Here is a 16066-nt window from a genome sequence, read left to right on the forward strand (position 1 = left end):
ATTACAGGAGTGAGCCACCGTGCCCGGCTGATTTTCTCTTTAATTCCAAAGCCGCCAGCAAGTTCAGGAGATAAAAGCTTAGTCAAATAAATTTTTGGTTACCATATGGAAAATGTCATGTTGATATAAATTATTTATTCTATCACCCAACTATATTGATAACATTAAACATGGCCTTTCTATCTGTCATTCTGCCCCAATGAGACTTTCATTTCTTTAACATTATACAAAGTAAAATCATCTACCTCTGGAATGATTTTATCATTATTAACACACATATACATGCATACTTATTTATGGTTCTTTATATGCACTAAAGAAGCTGGGAAAATTTTAGAAGATAGTAAAATGAAATGGTTCTTCCTTTCTTGTCTGGGAGGGGCTCCTTGCTCTGGAATGATACTTCATATATAAATACAGTGTTTCTCCGTGGTCTTCCTTTTGGATTTTTGGAGGTTGGATGGGAAGGGCTGAATTTCGGCACACACTGAAAACAGCTTATCTTGTAGGAGGGATTATAATATCCCAAACATTGTATATAAGTGGCATTTTGAGATTTCCTCAGAAATGTATTAAAAACAGAGAGAAAAAAATGATTGTAGCAAGTATTCAGCCATTTTACCTTTTTATTCAAATATTTAGCAATTTCTTGGGCTTCTAGTAATTTAGTGATCAATGGCTCCAATCAGAGAGTTCATTCACAGGAATATTCACACTCATTTGTTTCAGCCTTAAATAAATAAAGGTTGATTTTTTAAAAGAGGCTGTCTTCTAGGTATTGCAAGTGGAATCTGCTCATATTGATTGGGTTGCTCTTCAGTAATTTCCTACAGCATGCACATCTCTTCCTTTTTATGTTTTTCTCAAGCAATCAGTAAATAACGTATTCATCAAACTTAAGAGAGTGTCCCAACAGAATTTCGTTGGAAAAGCTGGGTTTCTTTCTTGCTGAGGTATACAGTTGATGAGTTCTTTAGCCAGTTGGATTATAGCAGCTCAGTGAGATCATAGAAAGTAACCTGGTTATGTTGTACTGATATTCATCACAGGAAATGAACTCATCTCCACAAATTATTTGCTGCAAAATAAATTAACTCCTTTAATAGAAAATTATCACAGGATCAGCACGTCCCACTTGTCAAGGAAGGAATATGAGCACAGTGTAGCTTTACTGTTACAGCAAGAAACCATTATTTTGTTGCTCACGGTACTCTCAACATAAATCTAAAATAATATCATCAAATGAACTCTCTGATTGGAGCCATTGATCACTAAATTACTAGAAGCCCAAGAAATTGCTAAGTTTCGCCGGGCACGGTGGCTCACGCCTGTAATCGCAGCACTTTGGGAGGGCGAGGCGGGCGGATCACCTGAGGTTGGGAGTTTGAGACCAGCCTGACCAACATGGAGAAACCCCGTCTCTACTAAAAATACAAAATTAGCTGGGAGTGGTGGCGCATGTCTGTAACCCCAGCTACTCAGGAGGCTGAGGCAGGAGAATTGCTTGAACCTGGGAGGTGGAAGTTGCGGTGAGCCGAGATGGTGCCATTGCACTCCGGCCTGGGCAACAAGAGCGAAACTCTGTCTCAAAAAAAAAAAAAAAAAAAAAGAGAAAAAAAAAAGAAAGAAAGAAAAAGAAAAAGAAATTGCTAAGTTTCAACAAAGTCATGTTAGTTGTTTGAAATATTTCATAATACATTCTAATAAAAGGATTAATCATGTAAGGTTATTACAATGATATTGTGCACTTTTACTATTGCATAGCTTTTCCTATGAGCCCGACACTATGCTAGGCACTTACATGCATTATCTTGTGTCCTTTGTACAGCAAACCTAGAATGATTTACTCATGGGTTTCTTCCCCAGATCACAGATAAAGAAATGAGAACTGATTGTGCTAAAAAATTTTTCTCGTGCCTGTGATCAGTGTATTATATTTGGAGTATCTATGTTGGGCTGAGAATAAGAAAATAGAAACTAGAAGGACACTAGAAATAGAGGGAAGATAGGGAATTGGAGGGGACTGGAGCTAGAAAAGGAAATTATAGTAATAGATTACTATATGCCAGAGACTGTGTATATGATGGCACAAACAAACTTTTTTTTTTTTTTTTTTTTTTTTTTTGAGACAGAGCCTTGCTCTGTGGCTCAGGTTGGAGTGCAGTGGTACAATCCGGGCTCCCTGCAAACTCTGCCTCCCTGGTTCAAGCAGTTATTGTGCATCAACCTCCCAAGTAGCTGGGATTATAGATGTGTGCCATCATGCCTGGCTAATGTTTGTATTTGTAGTAGAGACGGGGTTTTGCCATGTTGGCCAGGCTGGTCTCGAACACCTGACCTCAAGTAATCTGCCTGCCTCAGCCTCGAAACGTGTTGGGATTACAGGTGTGAGCCATCGTGCCCGGCCACAAACTTTTTTTCTATACTTTCACGGTATTCTTAATATTTCTGCCACAAGATTCAGTTTTTCCTACAGCAAACAATTTTCCAGGTCTCTATGGACATCAAGTAGTGTCCTACGAATCAACTTAATTCTGACTCTATCTCTATCTGGTGATAGTACAGAAACCACAGGTCAAGGGCTCAGTCAAGACTGCCCCCATTTCAGATGCTGGGTTGTAACCTGTTCTTATAGCCAACAGGAATCCAGGGTTCCTATGACTGCTTCTCACATTCGTTCATTTACTAGGTCAGCTTGGAGAACTCAGGAAAATAGTTAACTCCCTATATTTGCAGTTTATTACAAAGGCTAGAACTCAGAGGCAGCCAGATGGGAGTGATGCATAGGACAAGCCACATAGGAAAGTGCACAGAGGTTCTATGCTGTCTCTAGGTGGGATTTTTTTTTTTTTTTTTTTTGAGATAAGGTCTCACTCTGTCACCCAGGCTGCAGTGCAGTGGTGCAATCACTGCTCACTGAAGCCTCGACCTCCCTGGCTCAAGCAATCCCCTCACCTTAGCCTTCTAAGTAGCTGGGACTACAGGCGCACACTACCATGCCCAGTTAATTTTGGACTTTTTGTAGAGATGAAGTCTTGCCATGTTGCCCAGGTGAGTCTCAAACGCTTGGGTTCAAGTGATCTTCCTGCCTCAGCCTCCCAAATGCTGGGATTACAGGCATGGGCCACCCTGCCCCGCGGGCTTTTCTTTTCTTTTCTTTTCTTTTGAGACAGGGTCACCCAGGCTGGAGTGCAGTGGTGCAATCATAGCTCGCTGTAACCTTGAGCTCTTGGGCTCGAGTGATCGTCCTGCCTCATCCTCGAGTTGCTAGGATTAAAGGCACGCACCACCATGCCTAGCTAATTTCCTTTTTTTTTTTTTTTTTGTAGAGACGGGGTCTCGATTTGTTGCCCATGCTGGTCTCAAAACACCTGGACTTTAGCGATCCTCCCACTCGGCCTCTTGGAAGTGCTGGGATTCCAGGCGGGAGCCGCCGAGCACAGCCTGGGGCCTGGATGTTTATGTGAGACAGTAGGCGGCACTCTAAGCATCTCGGAACTGTTGGTGTTCGCTTTTCGGCACTCTATTGTATGTCATACCTTGTGCTGCACTCTACTCACGTTTGACTCTTTGTAGTACACTATGCCTCACTCCTCATCTTGGAATCATTTGCTATACCATACGCCTCAGTCTTTTCGTCTTGGATCTTTTTTTTTTTTTTTTTGAGACGGAGTTTCGTTCTTGTTGCCCGGGTTGGAGTGCAATGGCGCGATCTCGGCTCACTGCAACTTCCGCCTCCTGGGATCAAGCGACTCTTCAGCCTCAGCCTTCCGCGTAGCTGGGATTACAGGCGCATGCCACCATGCCCGGCTAATTTTTGCATTTTTAGTAGAGACAGGGTTTCATCATATTGGTCAGGCTGGTCTCAAATTCCTGACTTCAGGTGATCCGCCCGCCTCGGCCTCCCAAAGTGCTGGAATTACAGGCGTGAGCCACCGCGCCCGGCCTGTCTTGGGATCTTTAGTGGTGCCGGATGCCCTAGGTTTTCATCTTGGGATTCTTTGGAGGCCATACGCCCGAGTTATTTTGTTTTGGAATCATTTGGGAGACCGTATGCTCCGGGTTTTTTTTGTTTTGTTTTTTTGTTTTTGTTTTTGTTTTTGTTTTTTTTTGAGACGGGGTTTCGCTCTCGCCAGGCTGGAGTGCAGTGGCGCGATCTCGGTTCACCGCAACCTCCGCCTCCCGGGTTCAAGCGATTCTCCTGCCTCAGCTTCCCGAGTAGCTGGGATTACAGGCACGCGCCACTATGCCCGGCTGATTTTTGTATTTTTAGTAGAGATGGGGTTTCACCATGTTGGCCAGGATGGTTTCCATCTCCTGACCTCATGATCCGCCCGCCTCGGCCTCCCAAAGTGCTGGGATTACAGGCGTGAGCCACGGCGCTCGACTGTCCCGGTCTGTTTGTCTTGCAATTGTTTGCAGTAGCGTACTCCCTGATTTTTCGTCTTGAAATTCTCTGGGGAACTGCACTCCCAATCTTTTCATCTTGGAATCCTTTAGCGGACCGTATTGCCCTAGTGCTTTTGTCTTGGCACTGTTTGCAGTGCTGTACACCCCAATCTTTTCGTCTTGAAAACCTTTGGGATACTGTACCCTTGGTCTTTTAGTCCTGGAATTCTTTGCGGGATCGTATGCACCCGTTTTTCATCTTGGAATCTTTTGGGAGACCGTATGCCCCAGTCTTTTTGTTGTGGGATTATTTGGGATACTGTATTCACCAGTCTTTCCATCTTGGAATGTTTTGGGAGATTGTATGCTCCAGTTTTTATGGCTTGGAATCGCTTGCAATGCCCTATGCCCTAGTTATTTCACCTTGGAATATTTTGGGATATCAAATGCCCCAGTCTTTTGTCTTGGAGTCATTTGCAGTGTTGTATGCGCTAGTCTTTTTATCTTGGAATTATTTGGTGGACTGTACACCCCAATGTTTTCATCATGAAATCTTTTGGGAAACGCTATGTTCCAGTCTTTTCATCTTGGAATCTTTTGTAGTGCCATACGACCCAGACTTTTTGTCTTGGAATCTTTAGGGGCAGCTTATGCCCCAGTCTTTTCATTTTGGAATTCTTTGGCGACTGTATTCACCAGTTTTTTCATCTCGGAATCTTTTGTGAGATTGTATATCCCAATCTTTTTGTCTTGGAATCGTTTGCAGTGCCATCTGGCCCAATCTTTTCATTTTGGAACTCTTTGGGGGGACTATACACCCCAGTCTTTTAATCTACGAATCTTTTGGGAGTCCGTATGCCCCAATCTTTTTGTCTTACAATTCTTTGTGACATTGTACACCCCAGTCTTTTCATCTTGGAATCTTTTGGGAGACAGTATGCCCCAGTCTTTCTGTCTTAGAATCATTTGCAGTGTCATACACCCCAGTCTTTTAATTTTGGAATCGTTTGCAGTGCGGTATTTCCTAGTTTTTTTTCTCTTGGAATTATTTGGGGGACTATATACCACAGTCTTTTCATCTTGGAATTTTTCAGGGAACCGTATACTCCAGTCTTTTTATCTTGGAATCATTTGCAGTGTTTTACTCCCTAGTCTTTTTTTTTTTTTTTTTTTTTTTAATGGAGTCTGGCTCTGTCGCCCAGGCTGGAGTGCAGTGGCGTGATCTCGGCTCACTGCAACCTCCGCCTCCCGGGTTCAAGCGATTCTTCTGCCTCAGCCTCCTGAGTAGCTAGAACTACAGGCAACTGCTACCATGCCCGGCTAATTTTGTGTATTTTTAGTAGAGATGGGGTTTCATCGTGTTAGCCAGGATGGTCTCCATCTCCTGACCTCGTGTTCCGCCCGCCTAGGCCTCCCAAAGTCCTGGGATTACAGGCGTGAGCCACTGTGCCTAGCCATTCCCTAGCCTTTTCGTCTTGGAATCATTTGTAGTGTCATACGCCCCAGTTCTTTCATCTTGGAATTCTTTAGGGGACCGTGTGCCCCAGTGTTTCCATCTTGGGATCACTTGCAGGGCTGTACTCTTCAAATCTTTGGGGACACTGTATTATGCCCCAGTCTTTCCCATCTTGGAATCTTTCCAGAGACCCTATGCCCAGTCTTTTTGTCTTGGACTTATTTGCAGGGCTATATGCCCCAGGCTTTTCATCCTGGAATCTTTTGAGAGATCGCATGCCCCAGCCTTTCCATCCTGGGATCATTTGCAGTGCTGGACTCCCTAATCTTTTTGTGTCGTAATCGTTTGCGGTGTCATCTTGGAATTATCTTGTCATCTTGGAAGTGTCTTTTCATCTTGGAATTATTTCAGGGACTGTAAGTCCCAGTCATCTGTCTTGGAATTGTTTTCTGGGATGGATGCCCCAATCGTTTCGTTTTGGGGTCTTTGGGGAATCGTATGCCCCAGTGTTATTGTTTCAGGATTGTTTCAGGATTCTTTGCAGTACCGTGCACCGCAGTCTTTTCATCTTAGAATCCTTTGGGGTACTCCCGGTTCATCTTGGAATTATCTGGAAGACCGTATGCCCCTGTTTTTTTCAAAGTACCACAGTTTTAAACATTTATGTTCACCTCTTGAGAGACATCTTGGTTACTTCCAGTTGCCCCAGTTTTTTTGTCTTGGAATCTTTGGAGGTACTGTATTCTCCCTCTTTTTGTCTTGGAATCATTTGCGGTGCTGTACACCCCAGTCTTCTCGTCTTACAATTCTTTAGGGGTAAAATATGCTCCAGTCTTTTCATCTTGGGATTCTTTCAGTGAACGCAGGTCCCAGTTTTTTTGTCTTGGAATTCTTTATGGGACCACACACCCCGGTCTTCCTGTCTTGGAACCGTTCGCAGCACTCTATTGCATGTAATACCGCCGGCGGCACTCTACACGACTTGGAGCCGCCTGCGCTACCGTATGCAGCACTCTCCACGGTAGCTCCCTGGGGACTCAAACTTTTCCAGTTCCCCATCTTTAGGCTGCAACAGCATGGCAATGCCCAATAGAAAACAACGCAAGCAGTAGCCATCACGCTGCCAACACTGGCGGTGCCCTCTTGGGCAGTGGCCACTGTCTGCTGGGCGCATTACTAAGCCCAGAGCACTCTATGAACTCATCATCTCCATCTGGTGTCCCTGTCCTGCTTGCTGCTCTAGTTGCCCTAAAAATATGCCCCAGTCTTGTTTTGAGCAGGAATAATAAGATGCACAGACACGCAAATGATTGCCAACGAACAAGTCATATTTTATTATACTCACAGTCCCCAAGACACGGGAGGGGGGTCACTCCACACAGGGCCACACAGGGAAGTGACAAAGCAGAATGAGCAGGCGTAGAGAGAGGGAAAGCACTGGCAGACTCTTTATTGTGGATTTCTCAGGAAGGAATGGGCAAAGCAAGGTAAGCAAATGGCACAAATTTAGGATTGGATAGTTTGCATTGTTTCAGCAGATTCTGCGCTATAGGGTGCATCCCCAATTGTATAAAGACTGGTTTTGGAGAGTCTGAGTCTTAGTAAATCATGATTTTTTTTTTTTTTTTTTTTTTTTTTTGAGACGGAGTCTCGCTCTGTCGCCCAGGCTGGAGTGCAGTGGCGGGATCTCGGCTCACTGCAAGCTCCGCCTCCTGGGTTCAGGCCATTCTCCTGCCTCAGCCTCCCGAGTAGCTGGGACTACAGGCACCTGCAACCACGCCCGGCTAATTTTTTGTATTTTTAGTAGAGATGGGGTTTCACAGTGTTAGCCAGGACGGTCTTGATCTCCTGACCTCGTGATCCACCCGCCTTGTCCTCCTAAAGTGCTGGGATTACAGGCGTGAGCCACCGCGCCCGGCTAGTAAATCATGAGTTTTAGGGCCTGATGCTCTCTAAGCAAATTGCTGCTTCTCCAAGATAATGAACTGTAGCTTGGAGCCCACAGAGAAGGCCCTAGAAACCAGTCTGTCCGTTGTTCTCCCTCCTCTTTTCAAGATTTTAAAACTTGTAGCAATAAACACATAACATTAAATTTACCATATTTACCATTTTAAGCGTACAGTAATGTAATGTTAAGTATATTCACATTATTATGCAACAAATCCCTGGAACTTTTTCTTCTTGCAAATCTAAAAGTCTGTAAACAGCAAACACTGATTCTCCTTCCCTCTTTCTGGCCTTTGGTAACCTCTTTCTACTGTTTCTGTGATTTTGACTACCTTATTTAGTCTTTCTTTTCTTTCTCTCTCTCTTTTTCTTTTTTTTTTTTTCAGACAGGGTCTCACTCTATTACCCAGGCTGGAGTGCACATGCAGTATTGTGATCATAGCTCACTGCAGCCTCGAACTCTTGGGCTCAAGTGATCCTCCTACATCAGCTTCCCAAGTAGCTGGGACTACAGGCACTCACCACCACATCCTGCTAATTTTTAAATCTTTTATAGAGACAGAGTTCCCCTATGTTGCCATAGCTGGTCTCAAACTCCTGGCCTCAAGGGATCGTCCCTCATGGCTGGGATTACTGGCATGAGCCACTGTGCCTGGCCGTTTTTGTTTTTGTTTGTTTTAGAGACTGGGTCTCACTCTGTCTCCCAGGTTGGAATGCAGTGGTGGGGGTGGGATCACAGCTCATTATAGGCTCCACCTCCTTGGGCTCAATCAATCCTACCATCTCAGCCTTTCAAATAGCTGGATTACAGGTGTGTGCCACAACACCTGGTGATTTGACTCCTTTAGATCCTCCATAGGAGTCCTCTTGTGACTGGCTCATTTTTTTTAAGGGCCCTACATATTGTTTTCCATAATGGCTGTATTATTTTACATTCCTACCAACAGTGCCCAAGGGTCCCAGCTTCTCCATTTTCTGGCCAACACTTGTTATTTTTGTTTCTTTTTTCTTTAGTAGTGGGCATGTTATGGGCTGTGTTGAGGATCAGTACACAAACATTTGTATTTGAATACAATTCTTAACATACTAGAATGAAAATCTCAAAAGCCATGTTGTTGTGGTCTTTTCTAAAACGATTCCAGTGACTTCCCAGCTTAAAAGCTTGGGGCAAATTTTCCTTAAGAGCTGTTAATTTACAATGTAATATCATATAAATTACCTGCCCAAATTTTCAATCTTCCGCGGCATATTAACAAAGTTATTAGGAAATAACTTTGGTTATGGACTACCATAACCAAAGATATTACAGAGTGCACATAATCCTTTTTTTTTTTTTTTTTTTTGAGACAGAATCTCAATAAGTATCCAGGCTGGAGTGCAGTGGCGCGATCTCGGCTCACTGAAACCTCTGCCTCCCAGGTTCAAGCGATTCTCCTGCCTCAGCCTCTCGAATAGCTGGGATTACAGGTGAGTGACACCATGCCTGGTTAGTTTTTGTATTTTCAGTACAGACGGGGTTTCACTATGTTGGCCAGGCTGGTCTTGAACTCCTGACCTCAAATGATCCTCCTGCCTCAGCCTCCCAAAGTGCTGGGATTACAAGCATGAGCTACCACACCCCGGCCGAGTGCATAGAATTCTGACAGGGAGAGTAAAGATTAAGGAGTGGTTTTCTTTTCTTTCTTTTTCTTTTTCTTTTTTTTAGAGACAGGGTCTTGCTTTGTCAGCCAGACTGGAAAACACTGGTGCAATCATAGCTCACTGCGGCTTTGAACTCCTGGGTTCAAGCGATCCTCCCGCCTCAGCCACCCGAGTAGCTGGGACTACAAGCATGAGCCATCACGCCCACCCGCCCCCCGCACCCCCCCAACCCCTTTTGAAAGTAAAATATTTAGAATGGCTTTTATTTCTAGGCAACTACCATTTTTCCCCCTCTGTCTTTTGATGTTCACCTGACAAGCTCCTGGTGGTAGCCGGTAGCTCTGACAGAGAGCAAAAGAAATAAGGTAAGGTCCCAACCTAGTGATCCCAGGTCTGGGCGGTATTTCACCTTTGGTGGTGCCATTGGTTTCCTGTTGTGAGATTATTCCTCCCACTGGGGTTAGGACACATAGGCCAGGGGTTGGGGGGTTGGGTGGGGGGTGCGGTGTAGTAGGAGGTCAGGGGTGGGAGGGGTGAGGGAAGACTCCCTCCTTTGCTATGGGTGTTACTTTCCTGGTTCACTTTAGCATTTAGCCCCACCTTGGGCGGAGATAGCAATCTTGCAATTGTTCCATGCCCTTCAGCTCTCCTTGGCTTGAGGCAGGGAGGACCTGGTCTTTAATCTGTCTTGTCTTTAACCTTAGTCAATCAGGAGCTGCTATGTGGTCTATTCTTGTTAGACCAGAGGCGCCTGGTCGCATGGCTCTTTTTGGGAGGACTTAGGTTGATAATGGCAACCTCATGCTTTAGGGCGGACACGGTGAACAACAGACAACAGAGGGCTTTATGCAGCCCGCATAGCAGCAGCACACCCCTCCAGCAAGCAGTTCTGCTTCCCCACATGGTGCTAGCCATGGGGGAAGAGCCACAGCAAGCCACACGCAGGTCAAAGGCATTTTGTTGTGCCCCTTGTGGTTGTGACCACACACCCTGCTTGCTGTGCCAGTTGTATTTTTCTCTAATTTGATCTTTCCTCTAATTTGCTCCTGAGACAGACAGTAGCTATGAAGTCTAGCCTGTCCTGAAGGGGCTGCCCTGAAGAGGATGCTTATATTGTGTTTTTCACAGAATACTTCTTTATCCTGACCTAATGCCTGATTGTCCAGCCTGTATCCAGGTGTCCCTCTCACAGGAAGCTTGTTTATATGGGCAGGTGCCCTTGTGGCTCTTGTCTGACCTATGTCCAGGTTATTCCGCTGAAGCCGGAATACTCCCTCTAAGAGCCCTGACCGGCAGGAGGGTTCGCTTCCAGTGTTTAGCTCAGGTGAGACACAGCAGAGGTAACACAACGAAACACGTGAAATAACAACAACAACAAAAGCAGTGTGTCACTGACAGATCCCAGAGAGAAGAGGACAGCACGTCTTGCAGGGCCAGCGAGAAGCGGGGAGCCATCTGGGACATGCACGCTTAGGCAGCGGGCGGGGAGCAAGCAAGAGTGTGCAGGGGAACTGTGGGCCAAGCCTTTAGAAGGGTCCAGGGCGTCACCCAAGCAGGCTTCCTGCGGGGAGTTTTTTTTTGTTTTGTTTTGTTTTAACGGGATTTGGCTTTTGTTGCCCAGGCTGGAGTGCAGGGGCATGATCTCGGCTTACTGCAACCTCTGCCTTCCCAGTTCAAGCGACTCTCCTGCCTCAGCCTCCCGAGTAGCTAAGATTACAGGTGGCCCACCACCACGCCTGGCTAATTTTTTGTATTTTTAGTAGAGGTGGGGTTTCACCATGTTGGCCAGGCTGGTCTCGAACACCTTGACCTCAGGTGATCCACCTACCTCGGTCTTTCAAAGTTCTGGGATTACAGGCGTGAGCCACTGCACCTGGTCCCCGTGGGGGGTTTAGAGCAAGCAGGCATGAGTTCCGTGGGGGCACGCATGCTGTGACTGGGAGGGGGGCACTGTGACATATCTGTGCAGTCTATGCAGGGTGTGGGAGCCAGTGGGTGAGTCTAGTAGGTTGTGCCTAGCTGTCCTCTAGGGAGGTGGTCACCAGGAGATGGTGTATGAAGTAGATTGCTGGATCATCTACCTTGAGAAACTGAGAGGAGGTGGAGAGTTGAGAACTGGAAACAGTGTCAAGGGTGACTAAGCCCTGCTTCTGGTATGAGAAAGTCCAATTTTATATTATATTCAATACGACAAAGTCCAACTTATATTCAAAGTGGATGCCAGGCAACATAAAATTGTAAGAATTCCCTACAGCTTTGTATTACAGGATATAAAACTACCCTCTCCACCTACGGTTTGTTAAGTTGACACCCACAACAGTAAAGTGCTCCCATAATTTATATCCCACTGTTTTCTGGTTGTATAAAAAATAAACAGCATATGATTTTGCCTCTTTTTTAAAAAAAGCACTTAGTTGGGAAGCTGAGGCGGGCAGATCACGAGGTCAGGCGATCAAGACCATCCTCACTAACACGGTGAAACCCCGTCTCTACTAAAAATAAAAAAATTAGCTGGGGAATGGTGGCACACGCCTGTAGTCCCAGAGGCAGGAGAATCACTTGAACCTGGGAGGTGGAGATTCCAGTGATTGTGCCACTGCACTCCAGCCTGGGCGACCGAGTGAGACTCTGTCTCAAAAATAAATAAATAAATAAATAAATAAATAAATAAATAAAGCACTTAGGCCAGGTGCAGTGACTCAAGCCTGTAATCCCAGCATTTTAGGAGGCTGAGGTGGGAGGATTGCTTGAGCCCAGGAGTTCAAGACCAGCCTGAGCAACATGGCAAAGCCTGAGCAAAATGGCAAAAAACCCGTTTCTACAAAAAATAAAAAAAATTAGCCGGGCACAGTGGCGCAGGCCTGTAGTCCCAGCTGTTCAGGACCCTGAGGCAGAAGGATTCCTTGATCCCAGGAGGTCAAGGCTGCAGTGAGCCCTGTTCTTGCCACTGCATTCTAGCCTGGGTGACAGAGCAAAAGCCTGTTTCAAAAACAAACAAAAAAAGCATTTACATTTTAAAAATCATAGTTCTTCCTTCTTAAAAATATTCATAGGCTGGATGCAGTGCCTCATGCCTTTAATCTCAGCACATTGGGAGGCCGAGATGGGGGGACTGCTTGAGGCCAGGAGTTCGAGACCAGCCCAGGCAATGTGTTGAGACCCCCATCTCTTTAAACATCAAAAATAAAAATAAATAAATAGCTGGGCATGGTGATTCGTGCCTGCACTCCCAGCTACTTGGGAGGCTGAGGTGGGAAGAGCGCTTGAGCCCAGGAATTAAGGCTGCAGTGAGCTATAATCATGCCATTGCACCCCAGTCTGGGTGACAGCAAAACCCTGTCTCAAAAAAAAAAAATTACAGAGCTACTTGTGCGTTTACAAAATATAGTATTTGATAAAAATATTTCTCAGAATTGCACAAGAAGGAAGACAGGGACCACTGATAAGACAAGGGTGTAGGATATTAACCAGACTTGGCTTCTTTCTCTCCTGCTTCAGCAGAGGCTGGACTCTCCTTATTTTCAGTTTCTCCATTTTCTGCAGGAAAATCTTTACTTTCTGGGGCAGCTACTTTGGCCTGTTTGTCTTATACTTTTCTTTGCATTTTTTCATTTGTTTGTGTGAAGATTTATCCTTTCCTGCTGCCTGTTTTGGATTTGTTTTCACTTTTGTAGGGGCGGTTTTAGCTGATAACCTCACCAGTCTTCACTTCGGCTCTTCCTTCGCTGCCCCTTCAGCTGCGGGGAACTTGCTCTAGGGCATCTTGGCAGGAGGGAGGGCGTCTGAGGGTACTGGTGCCTGCAGACTTCAAGCACGGAGAGACTTCTTGAAGCGGTGCTGCCTGGCCACTTGGAAAAAGGTAGGGAGAAATCCACATGGAAGAAAGTAGGGAGTAATCAGAAAGTCCAAGGTGGGATGTGAAATTACAGAGCCCTTGAGAGCCTGTTTGGAGGTTCTAACAGGGGAGTGCAGCTACTCATATACCCTCCATCGAAGAGTGATCCTCCTCTATCAGAGTAGGTTGTCCTTTTTGACGGAGCTCACAGCTTCAGGAGGAAGGGGACACCTGGCTAGTCAGACAGATCAAAAACAGAGCTCTTAAGGTTCTCAAAAGCATCTTTGGATAGGGGGTCCTGGGCGACCAGGTGGGCATATGGGGCAAGGCAGTTACAGAGAGATCGTGCAGTTTCTGACCCCAAAATCCTCTCTATTGTCTTTTTGTTTCTGGCAGAGTAAACTGTTGAATAGTAGAAGCCCAGTCTGTGGAGATAGTTTTTCCTGTGGCTGAGATATCATGACCCAGATATTGAATGCAGAACTTTGTCTTTAGCCACCTGGTGGCTCTTTATTGCTAATGCCTTAAGGGTTCAGAAGAGCACTGTCATAACGGGCAGGAGATAGAACATCATCCACATATTGAAATAAAGTGGAGTTTCCTGCATATTTTAAGTCCCTTAAATAGGACCCTCAGTAAATCCTTGGGGCATAACTGTCGAGATATATTGTTGTCCAGATATATTGTTGATTGTGAAGGAAAACAAATACTTGGAATCTTAATGAAAAAGGATGCTGAAAAAATCTGAACGCAAATTGATGACAGGTGAAATATTAGATTTTGGAAGGGATCACAGCCAGCATAGTATTAGGGTTGGGCATCAGGGGAAATCTGGGTTTGACAGTTTTATTGAAAGCTCTCAGATCTTGGACTGGCTGAAAATCCTCTTCCGTTTGGCTTTGTAGTGGCCATAATGGGAGTGTTGCCTAGGCTAGAAGTGGGGATTAGCCTTTTTTTGTCTAATAAATCTTGGGTTATTGGGTGGAGCCCTTCAAGTCCCCATGGTTTTAAATGATTTTGGGCAGTTTGGGGAGGAGCGTGGGAAGATCTGTTTCCACCTTAAGGAATTCTGCGGGCCGTGTACCAGTGGAGTTTGTTGCCCACAAAGGAAGGATTTTGTCTAACAGTCGATGTAAGTCCTTAGCAGAGCATTGCTAGGTTGAAGGGGGAAGAGGAACTCAGAGAAGTCAGACAAAGCCATTAGGGGACAGACATGGCGGGGGAGGGTGGAGTTTGAGAGGGGTCCCTTGTGGGCATAGTGAATTTTGATACTCCAATTCCTGAAAAGATCCCTTCTTAACAGATTTACGAGGGTGAGATAATTGAGAAAAAAGGTTGTACTGAGCTTTAAGAGGCCCCCCAAAACATTAAGAGGTTGAGAAAGGCAAATCGTGAGACACATGATCAAAACCTGCTACTGAAAAAGTCTGGTAATGCTGAGGAAGGAGCACAGGAACCGGGGTGGTGGGTGGTGTTAAGGGTAGATGATTGTGCAGTCCAGGTATTGGTATCAATAAGAAACGTGGACCAGGCGCGGTGGCTCACATCTGTAATCCCAGCACTTTGGGAGGCTGAGGCGGGCGGATCACAAGGTCAGGAGTTCGAGACTGGCCTGGCCAAAATGATGAAACCCCGTCTCTGCTAAAAATACAAAAATTAGCCGGCTGTGGTGGCGCGCAACTGTAGTGCCAGCTACTTGGGAGGCTGAGGCAGGAGAATTGCTTGAACCCAGGAGGTGGAGGTTGCAGTGAGCCGAGATCATGCCACTGCACTCCAGTCTGGGAGACAGAACGAGACTCTGTCTCATAAATAAATAAATAAATAAATAAAACATGGTGAAGTGCCTTTCAACTTTGAGTCTGGTGGCAGTTGAAAGTGCTGGACATTTACTTCCTCGGAGGGGAGTCAGTGATTTTCTAAGAGAAGGGCCCTGAAAGTTTTCCCTCCTCTTGAGAGCTGGGCAATTCTGGACCCAGTGTTCTTTTTCTTTACAGTATTGACAAGCTTCCAGATCACTGGGAACCCATGATTTTGGAGCTTGCCCCATGGGTTAAAATCTTAGGGTTTTTCTAATTGTTGTGATTACATTGATTGCATTGCCACAAACCTTTGTGTTTTCCGATTCTTTGGAAATGCTACCTTTATACTGTTGGACTAATGTCTGAAGCTCATACATGTCTGCATTTTTCTAGTTGATATTATTTTTTCTTTTCTTTTCTTTTCTTTTTTTTTTTTTTTTAAGACAGAGTCTCACTCTGTCACCCACGCTGGAGTGCAATGGCACGATGTTGGCTCACTGCAACCTCCCGCTCCTGGGTTCAAGTGATTCTCCTGCCTCAGCCGCCTGAGTAGCTGGGATTACAGGCGTGCACCACCACGCTCAGCTAATTTTTGTATTTTTAGTAGAGATGGGGTTTCACCATGTTGGTCAGGCTGGTCTTGATCTCCTGACCTCATGATCTGCCCACCTCAGCTTCCCAAAGTGCTGGGATTACAGGCTTGAGCCACCGCGACCAGGCATTGATATTATTTTTTTGTGATGTGTGAACTCCACCCTGAGACCATTTATCATGTTCTAGTGGCCAGAGCAGAGGTTTTTTGGGGAAATCAGTACCCACCCTGAATGCTCCTTCCTTGTTTTCTCCAGTCGATGACGATAGTTTGCCACAGTTTCATCCCTTTGTTGTATACAGTTTTGAGTATATGGCTGATTGGTTTTGGTCAGCTACTCAAAACTGTGAAGAGAAAAGGGGATAGAACTGAGGGATGCCTCCCAGTAGTTTCTCTCTTATTTCTTT

At 45.4% G+C, this 16066-nt stretch overlaps 1 long non-coding RNA gene and 2 pseudogenes across 1 annotated transcript in view; 1 reads left to right on the forward strand and 2 right to left on the reverse strand.

Annotated features, from left to right (window-relative positions):
- Positions 1 to 16066, forward strand: part of CMKLR2-AS (CMKLR2 antisense RNA) — a 62868-nt gene that overhangs the window by 43348 nt on the left and 3454 nt on the right. The window contains exons 3-5 of the long non-coding RNA NR_104359.1: positions 9143 to 9259; positions 9706 to 9798; positions 13108 to 13292. This is a non-coding gene — a long non-coding RNA (CMKLR2 antisense RNA). The remainder of the gene's footprint in view (positions 1 to 9142; positions 9260 to 9705; positions 9799 to 13107; positions 13293 to 16066) is intronic.
- Positions 12905 to 13195, reverse strand: HMGN1P6 (high mobility group nucleosome binding domain 1 pseudogene 6; annotated as a pseudogene).
- On the reverse strand, positions 13343 to 13491 carry RN7SKP260 (RN7SK pseudogene 260; annotated as a pseudogene).

Source organism: Homo sapiens, chromosome 2, assembly GCF_000001405.40.
Source record: "Homo sapiens chromosome 2, GRCh38.p14 Primary Assembly".
NCBI lineage: Eukaryota > Metazoa > Chordata > Mammalia > Primates > Hominidae > Homo > Homo sapiens.